Raw genomic sequence first — 18805 nt, forward strand, 5'->3', positions numbered from 1 at the left:
ACACAATGACCATCACTAGTGGATCAGATAAGGGAAATTCGGATGAATACTAGAACACCATCCTGCAGTTAAATGCCATGAATAGGATGCATTCATAGTTGTACACACATCTTAAGCACTGAGTGGAAAGAAAGAATGAGATCAATAAGGTGAAACTTGGAATTGATTGAAGGGCCATAACAGAAAATAACGTAGAACTATTTATGTAAATTGGAATACATTCCACTGTACATTGAAGAAATCATACATATCCAAAGACATATTATTAAATGCATTAGAATAGCTGGGGTGGAATGGGAAGGAATTTTAGGGACAAGGGGGGAACATGTAGCCCAAATGATACTTAATCCAGCAACTGAAAGGAGACAACAGGTTGAAAGATGAGGAGTCTGAAAGTAGGTGCTGTAAGTGTGACTAGCATAGAGAGACAATGGCAAAGATTCTAGACATTGTTTAATGGGAAGTCCAACGGCAGTTTGCTTCACAGAAATAGCAAATAAAAGTGTATTTAAGGAAAGCACTTTGATACTTATTTTAGCACTAGCAAAATTGGATGGCATATATTTTCTGATAGATGCAAAAATATCATAAGTCATAATAGTGTTTATGTATTTCAAAGGAAAGATTGTTAGAAACAGCAATCTGATAATGCAGGTGCTCTTAATGGGAGCCTCAAAACAGAACATACAAATTAGTAAGAATCGAGACTATTTTCCATATAACTAAGAAATCTTTGCTATGGATCTGTTAAAGAAATTGCAAAGATCCCTGAACATACATCATATGCAAGGATTCATACCTGGCCCTTAATTCTCTTATGAAACAAACAGCTTAGGACTGTAGGACATTTTCATCAAGCACATTTGAGAAGGAAGAGGATCCCACTGCTTAATAATTCTAAGTTTTAGATTCCTATGTAAGAGAAGAGGCACAGTTCCAGTTTAGCCATTTAGTAAGTGAATTATATATGATTTTAGATGAAGGTCTTTAGACAAGAGACTCGTCTCAGTGTCTAACTGCTGGAAAGGGTGCAATAAAAATACATTTACAGCCCTACAGAATAGCAGCAGCCATTAAAGTTGTACTACTGATTAAAGAAAAACTCCTAATTGAATAAGATTACTTACTTTGGTCTCATTGTAGTACTAAAATATGGCTTCAAAAAGGCCAGCTCCTAGTGATACAAAATATATCTTTTGACTGCCTACATTTGGCAAAGAGTTATACATTTGAGAAGGTGTCTGAAAGTATTGATAACATCAGAGAATACCCAAGCAGGATTTCATTTACCAGGACAAAGTAGATGATGGGGGAAATGTAAAGGATCATAATGTTCTTGAGTCATTAATGACCTCAGCAGCAAAATGTTTCAACACGTGTTTGTGGACTTTGCACTACTGTATGTCTCAAGATTTCAAGGCATTAGAATCAGGACCATAAGGAGAACTCTGTAAAGACTTTAAGATGAAAGGCCTTATCACTGCAGAACTGTTACGACATGCTGAGAATGCAGTCATCATGCCAGTTGCAGACGCTCTGCAGATGGAAATGCAGAATTACTCCAGGGGACAGAGGCAGGTAGGATGCATTATTTAAGAGATGCACTATTTAGCCAAATATGAAACATTCGGTTTAAAGTGTTCTGGGGAAAGGTGGGGATGCGTGGGAGGGATAGATTAGGAGAGTTTCCTACCTCATTCCTACAACTCTTCTTTCAAACTCAGGCAAAAAAAAATTTTAACACCCCAGAACAAAACAGGTGCATTCCTTGGAGGTTAGCATCCTGGTAGGAAATAGCCTTTGACACACCGCCATCTAGTGACGGCAGAGGAGAACTCAAAGCTCTTTCCCCGCCCCCGCTTCAAACTCACTGGAGAGGAAGAAGGAGTCGCTTATGCAGCCTGGAACTTCTTTTGCATTCTACACCCTCTCTGAAGAGCAGAACGCCCACCGGACTTTAATAATGGCAGTGCATTCTGCTTTCATTTGATTGAATTCTGATACCTTTCATCATCGTGGATGAGGATAATACCATCTATCCCTAAGGTTATTGTGAAGATAAAAGTGACTCACACTGGCAGCACTAACCACCATGCCTGGTGTAGAGCAAGCACTCAGATCTACACCAACCAGTGTTAGAACCAATGACATTCCTACATTTAAAAACTCACTCGCCACTCCTTAGAGTTAAGCCAGTCCATCTAGGCCTGTCAGGCTGCCCGACCTCAGTGACCCACAAAGGTAGGTGGCCAAAGGCAGGGGCAGGGGCAGTGGCATTTCTACTGGACAAGGGCAAATAGTCTGTTAAGTAGAAGACTTCCATTCTTTCCTTTATTTTTAGGACCATTATTCTTTCCATGACCTCCCATCAGAATTGCTTTTTTAACAATTTTTTTGGTTTCACATAACACCTTTGGGAATCTGGTAAAACATATGAGCTCCCTAGAAAAGTGCGCATGAGCTGGGTGCAGTGGCTCATGCCAGTAATCCCAGCACTTTGGGAGGCCGAGGGGGGCAGATCGCTTGAGCCCAGTAGTTCAAGACCAGCCTAGGCAATGTGGTGAAACCCTGTCTCTACAAAAAAAATACAAAAATTAGACAGGCCTGGTGATGCGTGCCTGTAGTCTTGGGAAGATGGGTGGATCACATGAGCCCAAGAGGTTGAGGCTGCAGTGAGTCATAATCACACCACTGCACTCCAGCCTGGGCAATAGAGTGAGACCCCGTCTCAAACAAGTGTGCTCATGAAATCTTACATTTGATCTTGGGTGCTCATTAACCCCTAAAGATTATTCCTATGAACAAAAGATTAATACTGCCTCATATTGACACTGCAGGTCATCTGGAAACAGGGGCATAGGGATTTTCCCTCCAGCTCCTTTTTCAGCCCCTTCCTTCCAGCACTGGGGGAAGTGACATGTGAACACATGTCATATACATGTCAACATGCCTCCTCATATACATGTTTTCATCTTTGCCCTAGGGGAGATGGGCTTGCCACTACTTTCGTTCAAAGTAATTCAGCATGTCAAGAACAGACACAAAGAAAAGCATTTCATGCCACAAAGAGCAATTTCCAAAGATCAGAGAAGGGAAATCCAAATACAGGCCTCCCACCTCCCCCGCCACCAGCCCACCTGCTGCCCATACCCTCGTGCCTGCCGCACCCCTTCCCCCCTTACCCCCCACCCCCCCATCCCACACCCACCACCATATGAAAGTCCCGGATTCCTAGTAAGGAAAACCAGTGTCCTTGAATTTTAATAAAGTGAGTTCACATCTCACTTTATTAAAGTGACCAACTGGCCAGCTTGGTCAAAACCATTTGTTCATCTTGCTGCATGCACAGCTGATCACAATTTGCAGAGAAGAGGGCATTGCTCATTGAGGAAAGGCTGATAGAAGCCTTTCAGGTAGTTCAAGCTTGACTGTCTCCCTTCTCCAAACGGGAGAAGGTACATCAGGGCTGCCCCTGGGCAGATATAGCTACAAGCAGAAGATGACAGGCATGTAAAATACATTGACAACAGAAGACTACAGACATCTGACAGGCAACTCAGGATTTTAAACAACCACTACCACCACCACAACACAGTTGCCCAGGGTGGCCAGCAGATTTGGTTACCCTTATCTTCATAAAAAGTCACACTTTCTACTAAAGAAGTGCCTAAGTTAGGGGGTGACCTAAGCTATTGCTCACTGGAAACCACAAGGCTTTCCTTACTCCATCACCAGTCAATCTTGAACCATGGAAGCTGTTTGTTGGATTGCAGTATTCCTTCGGCAGTCTTTGACATTGTACATGGCTCACTGTGATTTTAAGGATGTCATTTAACATAGCTTTTTTATATAGTTCAATAACTTCAAAGAGACATTATCTGTTCTGGATGAGGGATATGCATAGTCAAGCATGCATACTTCCAAGGTCAAGTATATCACATACCCAGCTAGACAGTGGATGAAGCAGGAAGAAGAAAGCTGGCTTTAATAGAAGTATGTTGATTTTCCTTTTTCCTCCAAGAGGGGATTAAATTTTATTTTATAATTTTGGTCTCAATTTCTCTAAATTGAGTTCAAGCCAAACAGTGCCTCTGTGGATGACCATGTGACCCTAAGCCTGGTCACCTCTAATTAGCTAGTCTCCACCTTTCCCTTTGGTCTCCTAGACAAAGCCGTCTTTCATATCTTTTTTCCTGCTTGCTTTATACTTTTCTGTTTCCTTCATTTGATCTTCCACCTCACCGATTTATTCTGCTTTGTCTACTACTGTTTATCCTATATATACATATATATATTCTTCATTTGTATTCTTCTCATACTTGGTCTTTTGATTTCTTGTTTCATGCTGCCAACACCATTCCTCATTTCAAGTTTCTTGATCATCCCTGTAAGTCCTTGTTGCATCTGGTCCAATCCTTGTTTCAGAGGGTCTACTGTTCAGTTTGCGGCACTCTTCAAGTGTCTAGTTACTGAGCCTGTGAGCTATTCCTTGGGGCTCTGAGCTCCTCTGCCTGGTAATAGGACCTGAGAATGGCTGCAATCAGGCTCTCCTCTGTCTCAGTCCTGGTGAGCCTAAGGGGTGGGCAGGAGTTGAACCACAGGCTCCAGAGAACTGCCTTCCATCTCTCCACCAGGAAATTCCTATCTTTCAACTCTAGGATGCAGCCTTGGGATGAGCTACCGTAATGCCCTTATCCCTGGGGCTTAGGGGTGGAAGGGTAGACCCAGAACTGCCTGTGGGTAACTGGGCAGCCCCCTCCTTATTTCCTCAACTCCTCACAGCAGTAGGGCTTTTTTTTCCTATTTTGCTGCTACCTTGATGTTACCTGGCCCTCACTGGGAGCTGGGTTTTTCTTCTCCATTCTAACATGGAAGGAGCAGGCAGTGACTGTCTTAGGGCAATATGGTGGAGAGGCATGAACAGAACCAAAGAGCTTTATTCTCATAACCTCCCTCAGACACCCTACACTTGCAGCTGGGGTTGCCTCTCACCAGAGGCTTCAATTGTTTAAGTTCCCAGATGACACTCCTCCTTCTTTCTTGTCTACAGTTGATTTTTCATGAGAGGCCAATAGCTCACATTGTTCATCTGGACTTGACAGGAATCACCTAGCTTATTCATAAGCCAAGCAGTATTCCCACATTTGCTACTACTTAACTCCTATAGACTTTGCTCCAGGTGGATAAACATATCTGTTGAATGAAAGGCCTCCTCAAGAATTTAGAAGAAACAGTTCTGTTGTTTCCTAGATTAAAAGTCATTTTCACTGTCTTTAGAATAATGAGACCCGTGCTATCTCACTGTGGCCCTGGGGTTGTTTTCCTAGGATTGCAGAATTGAGGAACCAAGAAAGACGACCAGATACAAGGATGCTTATTCTAATCCATTTCTTAGTCTCGTCATATAGTGGAAGGCAAGGGCCATGGTGGTCAACAGTATACACAAAATATCCACACATGTTTTATTTGCTGAAGAGGTGATTCATATTTGTAAGAGCATTGAAAAGATCCAAAACCCCCAAAGATGAAACAATCTGATGGTATGAAATGAAATAAAATTTCAGTCATTGACAGATGCCTAAATACTTTTTTTTTTTTTTTTTTTTGGAGACGGAGTTTCACTCGTCACCCAGGCTGGAGTACAGTGGCATGAACTTGGCTCACTGCAACCTCCGCCTCCCAGGTTCAAGTAATTCTCTTGGTCAACCTCCCGAGTAGCTGGGATTACAGGTGCCCATCACCACGCCAGGCTAATTTTTGTATTTTTAGTAGAGACGGAGTTTCACCATGTTGGCCAGGCTGGTCTCAAACTCCTGACCTCAGGTGACCCACCCACCTCGGCCTCCCAAAATGCTGGGATTACAGGCGTTAGCCACCATGCCCGGCCTACCTTTTAAGTTCTCAAAATGTAGTCTCATGTTCTATAAATTCCGATAATATCTAAGGGAGTCATAGGCAAACTGCTGATAAAGTGACTAGATTGCTGACTAGCCATGAAATATAGCAGCCTGCCCACTGGATGGGAGAAAGGAACATGACTTTGTATTCTCTGGCATTGGCTGCCAGATCTCACTGAGGGCATCCTCCAGGACACAGTAACTGCTGGTATGTGAGCACTTCCACTCAGCAAGTGTCTTTATCCTGGAGGTTTCCTGTGGAACCAAAGAAGTGGTGTGGGTGCTACTGGCAGAAGAGAGGAATAAGGGGGAAAGAGAACAAAGGAAGAGGTGAATATGCAACCTACTTCTGGGGTATGCTTGGTTACAAATCCATCTTTCATCAGGCTTTCAGCATCTTAGGGGTGAGATGGTCTTGATTTCATAGCTCCAGGCTTTCCCACAAAATATGTGTTCAGTAAATGAGCTAACCAGTGCATAACGAATTGAGCTAACCAGTGTATCAGTAACTTACCAGTTCTCTACTCCACAGATGGGCAATTCCAGTTTTGCCAAGCCTCAAAGTTCACTCAACTTAGTCTTGACCTAAATGGAATATACAGGCCCTGCAACTCTATTTCAAGATTGACATAACCACAGCTAAGAACTTTAAGTCCACCCTTTGGTGGACAGATCTCCAATAAACTCAACCTTAAAACCAGAGACCCTAACATTGTACCTTTTAAGTAGGAGATGAAGGTAAAAATTGGCTTCTATTTTATGTGCTGTAGTAGTAATCCAACATCTTCCCATAATTAGTTTTAGAAATATAGTGACTATGTATATACAAAAATAGATATATAACACTACTTAGGAAAACATTGTTCTAGAGGAATGCAGTGAAAAGAATTTGAGTCTGAATGATTCAAATCTCTATGACCCTTAACTGAGAACACATTTCAGACAGGGTTATAACAATTAAATAAACTGTATCTAACATATTACTGGCACAGAATAGGTAGTAAGCAAAGAGTTCCCCTCCATAACCTGCCTCTGATAGTCTTACTCTAGCTACTCAGAATGGCCTTTTGAAGAGCTACAGCCATCTAGAAAAAGATACCAAGGAGTCTATCCAATAAAAAAGGAAGTGTGGGAACCCCTGTCATTACTAGTTCCATATTACAGAAAATTGGATGGAGAAAAACTGTACAGCTCACACATAATGCTTCACTGTCTTCAGGAATGCATAATTCATAAGGTTATAATTAAGAGATGGAGGGAGAGTGAATTTCCCCATGGAGGTGCCACTCAATGCTCTAACTTTAAGTGTGCCAACTGGCTCTTGGAGACCAATACCAATAACATGGTCAGATGCTTTCTGCCAAAAGCAACAATTTAATCAACATGGAAGGACAGACCAACCTGGGTACTTCCACCAACACAGTCTCTGGGATTGCAAAAGAGTCTTGTAGGGTTTTCTGAACCTGTTCCAGGTGGAGACAAGAGAGATAGATGGAGCCACAGCTGGAGAATGGCCAGAAGGAAATGACTACTTCCGAAAATGGAAAGACTGGAAAAATAAACTGGTGACTTGGGCCCCTGCTAGCTCCATCTGTGCACGAAGCAACTGATTGTTCAAGAACACAAGAGCACCCACACTAAGTATTGGAAATACCAAAAAGGATCACTGTTCCCAGGGTCCAGGCTAGCAACCACCTGAAGGAAGATGTGAAGTAGACACACTGACCCATTTGGTGAACTCACCACAGCTGTCTCTGCCATAGGAAAGTGGATTAGATGGGACAAGCAATATGATTAATATCAGTCCAGTCTCCCATACAGCCCTACCATTAACTGGTTATGGAAAATTTCAATATCTCAGTTTTAACCATATAGTCTATAAGGGGAAAGTGTTACTCTTACCATTTTGTGGGGGTAAGAGTGTGGGGGTAAGTACTCTTACCATTTGAAGAGTGGAAGGATAGACCAAATTACTAAGCTCCTTTCATTTCAATTTCTCTCCAGCATTTCAGCCACCCGGCTGGTGAAGACCTTCAAATGCCAAAGAATCCACATCTTATTTCTAACCAACAGTTTTCAAGTACCTACTTCCCACAAGGCATTGAGTTAATTCAGTGCAAGTCACAAGAACACATGACCTGTTCTTTACCATCAGTGTCTGGCCATCTGATAGAAGAATCACAGTGAGGAAATTAACTATAGCTCAGAAACTGAAAAATAATTCTCTTTATCAAAAGCCAAACTCAGCATTAAAGACTTTTGATCCACATCCCAAGCAGACATGGGAAAATCAAGTTCTCTGGCTGTTCATGCTCACCCGCTCTTCCCTAGGTTGGGTGCACCCTCATAAGACAACCCATCACTGAGGAGGAAGCACTAGGACATTTGCAGGTCAAAATCAATGAGGTTCCCTCCCTGGACATTTTCCTCAGGGCAGCATTGAGTTATCATGGAAGGGAATAAGAAACAACCAGTGAGGTCTTGACGTGTAGACAGAACTTCTAGGTAGACTTGCATTATGCACAGTGCCGTTTTGTTCTTGGTGCTTTGGCAGGCTACATTGATGACTTAAGCTGGGTAACCAATGAGGGAAGTATTCCAGGCTAATAAGAAGTAGCTTGTAAAAAGGGCTAACAAACCAGAACAGGCACCTGAGGCAGCATTATCCTTTGTTCAGCACTGCTCGCACTTGACGAACTCAGACCTGGCTTGTGCCGGGTAAATTACAGCCACAAAAAAGAACTGAGACAACACCTGAACTGAGTTAAGAACAAACCCAGGAACTTGTTATCAACTAAAATAAGATCTATCTGGCCTCTTCATAGCTACAGCCAACATTTAAATGACTGGGTAGTGTTGCCATAATGATTCAATTATTACCATTTTAGACTGGCCTGTCCTTTGAAGGGGCAACAAGGCAGTTCCTGGGAGCCCCACATGGTCCTACACTTTATTCCTTTTTTTCTGATCATCACAGTTCAAATTTCCAAATCTAACCAAAGCCTGAAGGTTCCATGAAATATGCCAATAGCCCAGCCTCCTTTCTATTGCCCTTATCTTGGGCAGGCTACATGGGTTAAATTGCCCCAGGCCTTACACCCTTCTAGGAATAGCCCCATTTTTAGATGCAAGAGTCTCTCTACTTAGGAATTTAAAACAAAACTAAAGTTCGACCTATCAGTAACTTTAGAAAAACTTGAAGCTAAAATTGAAAAGAATTGCTTGAAACCAAAATGGAATTCACTGAGATTCTAAAGACTCTCCACTTTAGAATTACAGGCCCCTAAAGTGTGTTCCTCAGACACCCCACCAAAACAACAGCAGCTGACTCAATCCTGTTCTCACTGCTCCTAGCTGCACAGAAAGCCATGGCTCTTCAGAGCAAAGGTTGGATAGATGAAGCAGTAGCTTGGAGACCTTACCTTCCAGAGAGCGCAGTAAGTGTACAGAGGACTTTACCTCTATCAATACAGGCAGACACGAAGCTGACCTTTGTTCTCCTCCTCTCCTGGAGACTTGGCTCTTCCTATAGACCCGTTTGCTCATAAGGGGCTCAAATTCCAGAGGTCAGAAAGCTCTCATCACAGCTACCCAAGAAGCAGGTTTCACAAAGGACTCTAGACACAGACTGACTCCCACTCTGTCTGCGAGGGCAGAGGTTGCTGGCCTAGAGCTTTTATGGCCTGTGCCTGGGCCTCCTGCTCAGGTGAAAACTGTGATTCCACTCAGCTGCCTTATATGAGTGAGGCTTCAATCAACACTTCTTATGCCTACAAAGAGTATGCTAGGTAGGTTCTTCAAAAAACTTGGGGTGGCTATGTTTTTCTGGAAATACAGGGTCATTCCCCAGAGTCTGATGTGTCATTGGGAGAAGTTACTGCCCAAACAGCATTTGGAAGCATGGGTGTCAGACCAGGGCCACAACTACGCCCAATGTCATGCTCAGGGTTAGGTTCCAGCCCATGCTGAGGTCCGAAGGGAGTGGGTAGTAGATGGGCAGATAACTGAAAGAACACTCAGGGGGCCATAGGCAGGTGAATATGGTTTTATTCAGCAGCTCTCTCATCAGCAGCTCTCTCACACTAGCTCTTTACACTGTTTGCCTTTATCTCGACTGTCTGCTCCGGCTCCGTGGCTCCTCTCAGCAGCTGGCTCCCACGCACAGCTGCACAGCCAGCCTGCAAGGCCAGCTCTAGGGTTAGCAACTTAACTCCTTCCATTTGGGCACAAGCCAAGCCGTATCCTGGCTCCCCTGTGTCCATCTCCTAGACGTTCATTCTCCCTTACAGTGGTCAGTAGCTTTACTCTCTGGGCACCAGCACCTGCACAAGAGCCATGTTGAGCCATGCCCAGGAGCCACGTTGAGCCCAGCCCAAAAGCCATGTTTAGCTCTTGGGCTGATGCTGATGTACAGCATCAGCAGGGCAGTTATACCTTTTCCAAACAATAGTGACTCCGAGTCAACTATGAACTTACACAACAGGTTATATAACAAGTGGAATATGCACTTACACCCTAAACTCACTGAGTCACTCTGGCCTGGATGTCTGCCTTGGCCTATTCCTTGACCAAAGTACATCCGTATACCTTACAATGGGTTAAGTAGGTGGCTGTCATTATACATGGGTCACCCCTGGGAGCTTAGTAAGGTGCAAGTTCCTGGGCCCCATCCCAAGAGATTCTGGGTCAGTGGTCTGTGAATCTACATTTGTATCAAGCACACAGCTGATAACAACGTAAATGCTCCATGACCTACACACCAGATGGAGCATCATGCAAATCCTTAGCCAGTAGCCCAAGTCCTGTGTATCTTAGGTGGGTCTTGCATTTCCAAGGGTATTTCTTCCATGACTCAATAAAACAGGCTGTCTGCTATATGATTTATGTGGGATACCACTGTACATTCAAATGAACTTCAAGCCTGTGTCTGTGCTATAAACAGTGGTCATTCCAGAACCTCTCCCTAGGACAGGGATTAGGGGTGCTGGAAGCAGAGACAGCTTGGGAGGAGGGGTGATGCTGTTTGTTGGGCAAAGGACCCTGACTTTATCATTGAAATGCAAGTAGCCACAAAGATGGATGAATTATACACTAGTTATGTGTCAATGCATTCACCTTGCCCACTTTCTTCTAGGCCCACTGAGGACAAGAACTGTGTGTTATTCACCTGAGTGTCCCCAGCAAGGACTCCACACAAAAGGTGCTCAATAACTAGTTACTAAAATCAATTGCTGCAACTGCACATCCCCTAAACATTGCCCTAACACTCATAGACACATGCAGTGTCTTGCTTATTAAAGGCAAACCACAAGTATTTATAGAATTCATTTGATACTGGGTTCTCCTAAGTCAGGGCTACCATACAAGGTTGCACAGAATGTGCATTGCAAAGAGATACCACATTGAAAAGGCTGTCTTCCACATTGCAGCCATCAAAGGCTTAAGTATAAAAGTGAAAACCACAAAGCTCTTAGATGAAAACAGAGATGTAAATCCTTATGATCTAGGATTAAGCAATGATTTCTTAGATATGCCACTGAAAGCACAAGAAACAAAAGAAAAAATAAAATCGGGCTTACTCAATATTTAAAAACTTTTGTGCTTCAAAGGACACCATCAGAAAATGAAAAGACAACCCACAGAATGAAAGAAAATTTGTGAAAATCATATATCTGATAAGAGACATATCTAGAATATGTTTTTTAAAAAATCTTCTAGACCTCAATACTAAGAAGACAAATAACCCAATTTTTTAAATGGGCAAACTGTCTGACTAGATATTTCTCCAAAGAAGATATGCAAATGTTCAATACACACAGGAAGATGACTAACACAATTAGCCACTGGAGAAATGGAATTAAAACCACAATGAGATTCCACTTCATACCCACTAGTATTGCTAGAGTCAAAAAGACAGGTAAGTATTGGTGAGTATATGGAAAAATTGGGACCCTCATACACTGCAGTACTGCTGCTCTGTAAAACAATCTGGCAACTCCCCAACAGGTTAAATATAGAGTTACATATAACCCATCAATCTCACTCCTAGGTATATATTCAAGAGAAATGAAAACATATGTCCACACAAAAACTTGTACACGAATGTTCATAGCAGCAGTATTCATCATAGTCATAAAGTGGACACAACTCAAATGTCCATCAACTGGTGAATGAACAAACAAAATGTAGTATATTCCAGAAACAGATTATTTGTCAATAAAAAAGAATACATGATTATTACATGTTACAACATGGATGAATCTTGAAAACATGGTAAGTGAAAGAAGCCAGACACCAAGACCACATACTGTGTGATTCCATTAATATGAAATGTTCAGAATAGGCAAATCCATTGAGAGAGAAGTAGACTGGTAGTTGCCTAGAGCTGGGTGGTTGGAGGAAATGGGAAGTGATTGCTAATGAGTATGGGGTTTCTTTGGGGCATGATGAAATGTTCTAAAATTGATTATTGTGATGGTTGCACAACTTTGAATACATTAACAACCATTGAATTATACATTTCAAATGGGTTAATTGTATGGTATATAAATCATATCTCAATGAAGCTATTATTTGAAAAAAAAACCATCGCAATAAAACTGACAAGAGAAGATCCAAGGGAACAAAGTTTTTTATATTTTGAAATCTTTTTTGGCAGATTAGATTATAATTAAATCTATTCAATAAGGAATTCTTCCAAGTGCATTTCATACAAGCAAGGCCACTGTGTATTGTCGGGCAGGTACACTCAACAATCTACTCAGCAGTACATAGCAGCCCTGCCCAAGGAGAACTCCAGCTCAGATCGTGTGCTTTCCAGCCTGGGAAAATCACGCTGAGCTGCACCCTTGACGCTTCTTTGGGTCAACAATCAAACAATACTGCAAGGGTGCAGCTCAGCTCTATTAATAGAATAGAATTTTTATTCTTTATTTCTACTAATTCTTCCCCCCACTTCAAATGGCTCAAGTCACCTAAATTCTCTAAACAATTTTTTGACATGCATGGCACACAAAAGAAGGCCAGAGCCAGGAGCAGAATGGGTGGCCGTGGATCTGAAACCCCAACTTATCTCCCTGTTGGGTTTGAAGCATTTCTATTTACTTCCTGAGTCTGTACTGACCATCTGGGGACTCCATCTGTTCCCTCCCAGGTCCTGCAACCCTGGATTGTGATTCTTGCTAATAATTGATCGCCATGATTCCATTTCAACAGTATGATTTTAAGTTTTATCTCAAGTGCTGGAGTACTCTTAATTATCTCCTAATGACCTAAAATAGAAAATACCTTAAATGCTAAAAGAATTGAAACCTGACTTACTGAACAGTTTGGTACACTATTATCTTGAGAATAAAATGAGACTAATACATGTGAAAAAACCTTGAATGTTTATAGAGAACAAATAGTTTGATGGTGTTCCATGAAAGGGCTATATATGCAAAGCAACCCCCAAATGCTGGAGGAGCAGAGAAACCAAAGACGGGGGCAGGCAAATCCAGTTTGTTGGTATAGGGTGTCTAACTGGGGAACTTACAGACAAAAGCATGGTCTTCAGTGGCCACGAGACAGGTAGATCTCCACACCATTATTCCCCAGAACCAGGGCTTATATACCAAAGGGAAAGGGGTATGTGCTCTATAGAGACAATGAAAGGCAACCCTCCAGAACAGGCCAGAATGCTATGTGTGTCATAGCTTATGATTTGTGCAATAACATCAACATTTCTTTGACCTAAAAGCAGGAGTACATGTTCTTACACTAAGGACACTACGTAGAAATTAGGACACATTCATAGGACTAGGGCTAATCAGAAGTTAACGCGGAGGATTCACATCCAAGATGGAGTCGCTTTTGTCTCTACAGATGGCTAAAAGTAATTAGGAAATCGTTAGTAAGTACTTTAAGCTGTGTGTTGTTAGGCTAATTACTTCACCTGTCTGCACCTCAGTTCATCCATTTGTAAAGTAAGAATAATGGAAGTGCCTTTTTTATGAAGTTGGCATGAGGATTAAAAGAATTAATATATGTTAAGAGCTTTAGAACACTAGCTCATATTTAGCTGTTATAGTGTTTGCTACTATTACTATTATGATTTTATAGCACATCCTAGATTTTACTTTGAACAAATTTTAGAGGGATTCACTCCAGTGTGTTGGCCACCAGCTTATGGGTCTCCTCTTACCCTGAGGAAAGTCATACTCTAATTTTTCTAAATAAATAATAATTGAACAGCATAATATAGTGGTTAAGAACCTGATTCTGGAGCTAGTCATCTAGATTTTAAACTTGGTTCAGTTATTACCCTATAATGTCTCTGAGCCTCAGTTTCACCATCTGTTAAGTGGGGATGATAGTAGTAGTGACCTTAGAGAGTTGTTGTGAAAATTAAGTGAGTTATTACATATAAAGTCTTAGAGCTTGGTACATGGTACACACTGCATAAGCACTTGCTAATATTATTAAGTTAGATTCAAAATATGAAAGTTATTGCTGGTTTTATGATCAGAATTCCTTATTCCTCTGGATTGGTGCAGAAGGGAAAAAAAAGAGCTCAAATGGAAGGTGATAATCAACGACAAGCTAGACACACCCTCTTATGCCAAGGTAGACTTCATCACTGGAGAAGAATCCTTAGGATACTTCCTAAGTTCAAAGCCCAGTATCCATTTCACGTTAAATATTTAAACAAGTTAAGTACAAAGGAAAACAACTAACAGGTATTATTCAAAGTGGTTATATCTTTATGCAAATTCAGATTTCAGAAACACATAAATGATCCATGCACTCAAAGGACAAGAACATAATTTGTGCCCTTCCCAGTATGGCAATAAACTTGTTAGGAATGTATAGGGAATACTATAGTTGATGACAGAGCAATTAATCACACTTTTAGAACAGCTCACTGATTACTGTTTTTCCCATTAGTGCTTCTCAATAACCTATTCATACCTTGGTTAAGATGAGCATCACTAAGATGCAGTCCATAAGGACCAGAGCTGTGAGCTCAAGTCCTGCTGGGCTATTCCTGACCTACAAGGCCACTGGGGAGACAGCAGAAAAGTAAGCTTGACAGCAAGATTATTTTTAAAAACATCATGGCATTATGCTGTCAGGTCCTGGGAACAATGATTTCTATCTGTAAAAATTGAATGACAACAGTCCATATGAAAGCCCACCCTATTGTAGGACTCCCAGTCCTACTGCAGTATAATCACGAATCCCTATATATTTCTCTGTAAATATTGATTAGTTTGGGTATATTGAAAGTTGAAGGATCAGAGAGAATTTGATAGACTATACACCCTCAAGGGGTTACTTCTGAAGTTCTTACTGATTCAGATAGAAATTATTAAACCATCTAAAAAATTCAGTGCATGGAAAAACCACATGGTGAATGCTAATATCAGGCAATGATTTTTAAAATCATGCATAGAAACATAAAAAAATTAATCTTGATATGCTATTGTGTGTCTGTAGCATGCATATGAGAATTTGGACCTCTGAATTAAAATATAGAAGAAGATGTCGCCAATCTACTTAAGGGTCTCTTTATTAGCTACAAAATGGTTATCTCTTAGAAGGGGGATCTCTTTCCTCAAGACCTTGCTTCTTGTAGAACTGGGGCTCTCATTAAAACCAAATGTGGAAAGGAAAACACTGACAGATTGAACATGTAAGAATCCAAATCTTTTGTTTAATGAAAGATATGACAGAATTAAAAGACAATGGGAGAAAATATTAGTCATGTATATAATCAGGAAGATAATATTCATAATATAGAGTGCCTACAATCCATAGAAAAAGGATAACCCTGCCGCAAAATTCGCAAAGGATGTAAACACAAATGCACAGAAAAAAACACAAATAATAAATACACAGAAGTATACTGGACTTCAAAAATATTCAATGAAGTACAAGTTAGATCTAGAATATGCTATTTTTGCCTATCAGAAGATAAAAAAATAAAAACATTAACAATAACACTAAGAACATAGAATTTTAATTTCCATCCCCATTAAAACAAAGGAAATTTGAAAATCTTTTCATGAGCTTATTTATTCATTTATTCAACCAATATTTATCAAGTGCTACTAGAGACAAATCAAAGTGCCAGACAGTATAGTGGATACCAAAATGAATAAAAAGTCACCTAAAATATAGTCTAGAGTGAGACAGAGATCAACATACCAGCAACCAACTGAATACAAAGCTGAGTGAAGTAGGTTTATGGAAGAGATTTGGGAAATCAGAGAAGGATCCCAGCAGGAAACAGTCTCAAGAAGGTGTAGCATTTGAGCAGAACATGTAAGACTGAGCTGAAATAATATAGGCAGAAAAGGGAAGAAGAACATTCAGCCAGAGACCCCCCAAAAAAATTACCAAAAAAAGTGAAATCACAGAAATAAAAAAATTTACATTTCATTACCTGAAATGATAAAACTACTAGAAGAAAAGATAGGGGAAAGATTTCATGGCATTGGTCTGGGTAAAAATTTTATGGATAGAACCCCAAAAGCATATGCAACAGAAGCAAAAATAGACAAATGGGATTATATCAAACTAAAAAGCTTCTGCACAGCAAAGGGAAAAATCAACAGAGTGAAAAGACAACCTACAGGATGGGAGAAAATAATTGCAAACTATGCATCTGACAAAAGGTTAACATCCAGAACACATAAAGCACTCAAACAACTCAATAGCAATAATAATAATAATAATAATAATAATAATAATAATTTTTAAATGGGCAAAAGACCTGAGTAGATATTTCTCAAAAGAAGACATACAAATAGCCAATAGGCATATGAAAAATTGTTCAACATCACTAATCATCAGGGAAATGCAAATCAAAATCACAGTATCACTTCACCCCAATTAAAATGGCTATTATCAACAAGACAAAAACTGACAAATGCTGTCACAGATGTCAAGAAAGGGGAACTCATACATGGTTGGTGGGGATGTAGATTAGTACAGCTATTATGAAAAACAGTATGGGGGTCCTCAAAACATTAAAAATAAAACCACCATATGATCCAGCAATCCAACTCTTGGATACATATCCAAATGAAATGAAATTAGTATGTCAAAGAGATATCTGGGCCAGGCATGGAAGCTCACACCTGTAATTCCAATGCTTCAGGAGGCTAAGGCAGTGGGACCGCTTGAACCCATGAGTTTGAGACCAGCCTGGGCAACATAGTGAGACCCTGTCTCTACAAAAAAAAGTAGCCAGTTATGGTGGCTAATCCTAGCTCCTCCAGAGGCTGAGGCGGAAGAATCATTTGATCCCAGGAGGTCAAGACTGCAGTGAGCTATAATCATGCCATTGCACTCCAGCCTGGGTGCCAGAGCAAGACTTTGTCTCTATTTAAGAGAGAGAGAGAGAGATCTGTACTCTCATGTTTATTGTAGCACTATTCACAGTAGCCAAGATACAGAATCAAGCTAAGCATCCATCAACAGATGACTAAATAAAGAAAATGTGGGGCCAGTTGCAGTGGATCACACCTATAATCCCAACACTTCAGGAGGCCAAGGCAGGAGGATGGCTTGAGGCAAGGCATTTGAGACCAGCCTGGGCAACATAGCAAGGCTCCATCTCTACAAAAAGTAAAACAAAACAAAACAAAACAAAAAAACACATAGCTCACATGGTGGCACTCGCCTGTAGTCCCAGCTACTTGGGAGGCTGAGGCAGAAGGATCACTTAAGCCAAGGAAGTTGAGGATGAAGTGAGCCATGATCATGCCACTGCACTCCTACTTGGGCAACAGAGTAAGATGCTGTCTTAAAAAAGAAAGAAAATGCAGTATATATACACAATGGAATAGTGTTCAGTCATAAAAAGAATAAAATCCTAGAATCTACAAGATCCCAACCAATTATCTTCATGTTTGTGCTTCCAAAACTTTTTGTAAACACTGATATAAATAGTCTACACCCTAAGAGTAAGAATGAACCAGCCACCACATGGATATGCAGCCCGGCTTCAAATCATCTGAATTAAATGAACAAATTTCCAGAAATTTACCTACTGAAGAATAAATAGAAAACTTGAATAGTACTATGACCATTAAATAAATTGACTCAGTGGTTAAAAAAAAATCTTCCTTCCCCACACACAAAAATTCCAGGCTCAAATAGCTTCACCAAGTTTTACCAAAAATTTGTGGAAGAAAAAATCTAAAGATTCCACCAAAAAACTAATTGAACTGATAAACAAATTCAGTAAAGTTACAGGATACAAAACCAAAAAACAAAAATCAGCAGCATTTCTATATGTCAATAGCAAACCACCTGAAAAATAAATCAAGAAAGTAATCCCATTTGCAATTGCTACAAATAAGGTAAAATACCTAGGAATAAACTTAACCAAAGAAAGATCTCTACAATGAAAACTATAAAACACTGATGCAAGAAATTGAAGAGGACACCAAGAAATTGAAGAGGATATTCCATGTTCATGGATTGGAAGAATCAATAGTGTGAAAATGTCCATACTACCCAAGGGAATCTACAGATTTAATGCAATCCCTGTCACAATACCAATGGCATTCTTCACAGAAATAGAAAAAAAAATCCTAAAATTTACATGGAACCACAGAAGACACAGACTAGCTCAAAGCTATCTTGAGCAAAAAGAAAAAAAAAACTGGTTAAAATATTGTTAGCAAAAATATTGTTACCTGAAGCCAGGTAACAATATTACCGGACTTCAAATTATACTACAGAGCTACAGTAACCAAAACAGCATGGTACTGGCATAAAAACAGACATATTGATTAATGGAGCAGAATGAAGAACCCAGAAACAAACCCATACATCTACAGTGAACTTATTTTCAACAAAGGGACCAAGAACATGTATTAGGGAAAGGATAGACTCTTCAATAAATGTTACTGGGA

General features: G+C 40.5%; 1 annotated feature.

Annotated features, from left to right (window-relative positions):
- Window positions 1899–1948: an enhancer, noted in NCBI's record as "active region_19761". NCBI's record gives its function as "activates an Ori minimal core promoter by ATAC-STARR-seq in GM12878 lymphoblastoid cells {active_cell/tissue: GM12878}" and the evidence as "EXISTENCE:reporter gene assay evidence [ECO:0000049][PMID:35858748]".

This window comes from Homo sapiens, chromosome 3, assembly GCF_000001405.40.
Source record: "Homo sapiens chromosome 3, GRCh38.p14 Primary Assembly".
NCBI classification, from domain to species: Eukaryota; Metazoa; Chordata; class Mammalia; order Primates; family Hominidae; genus Homo; species Homo sapiens.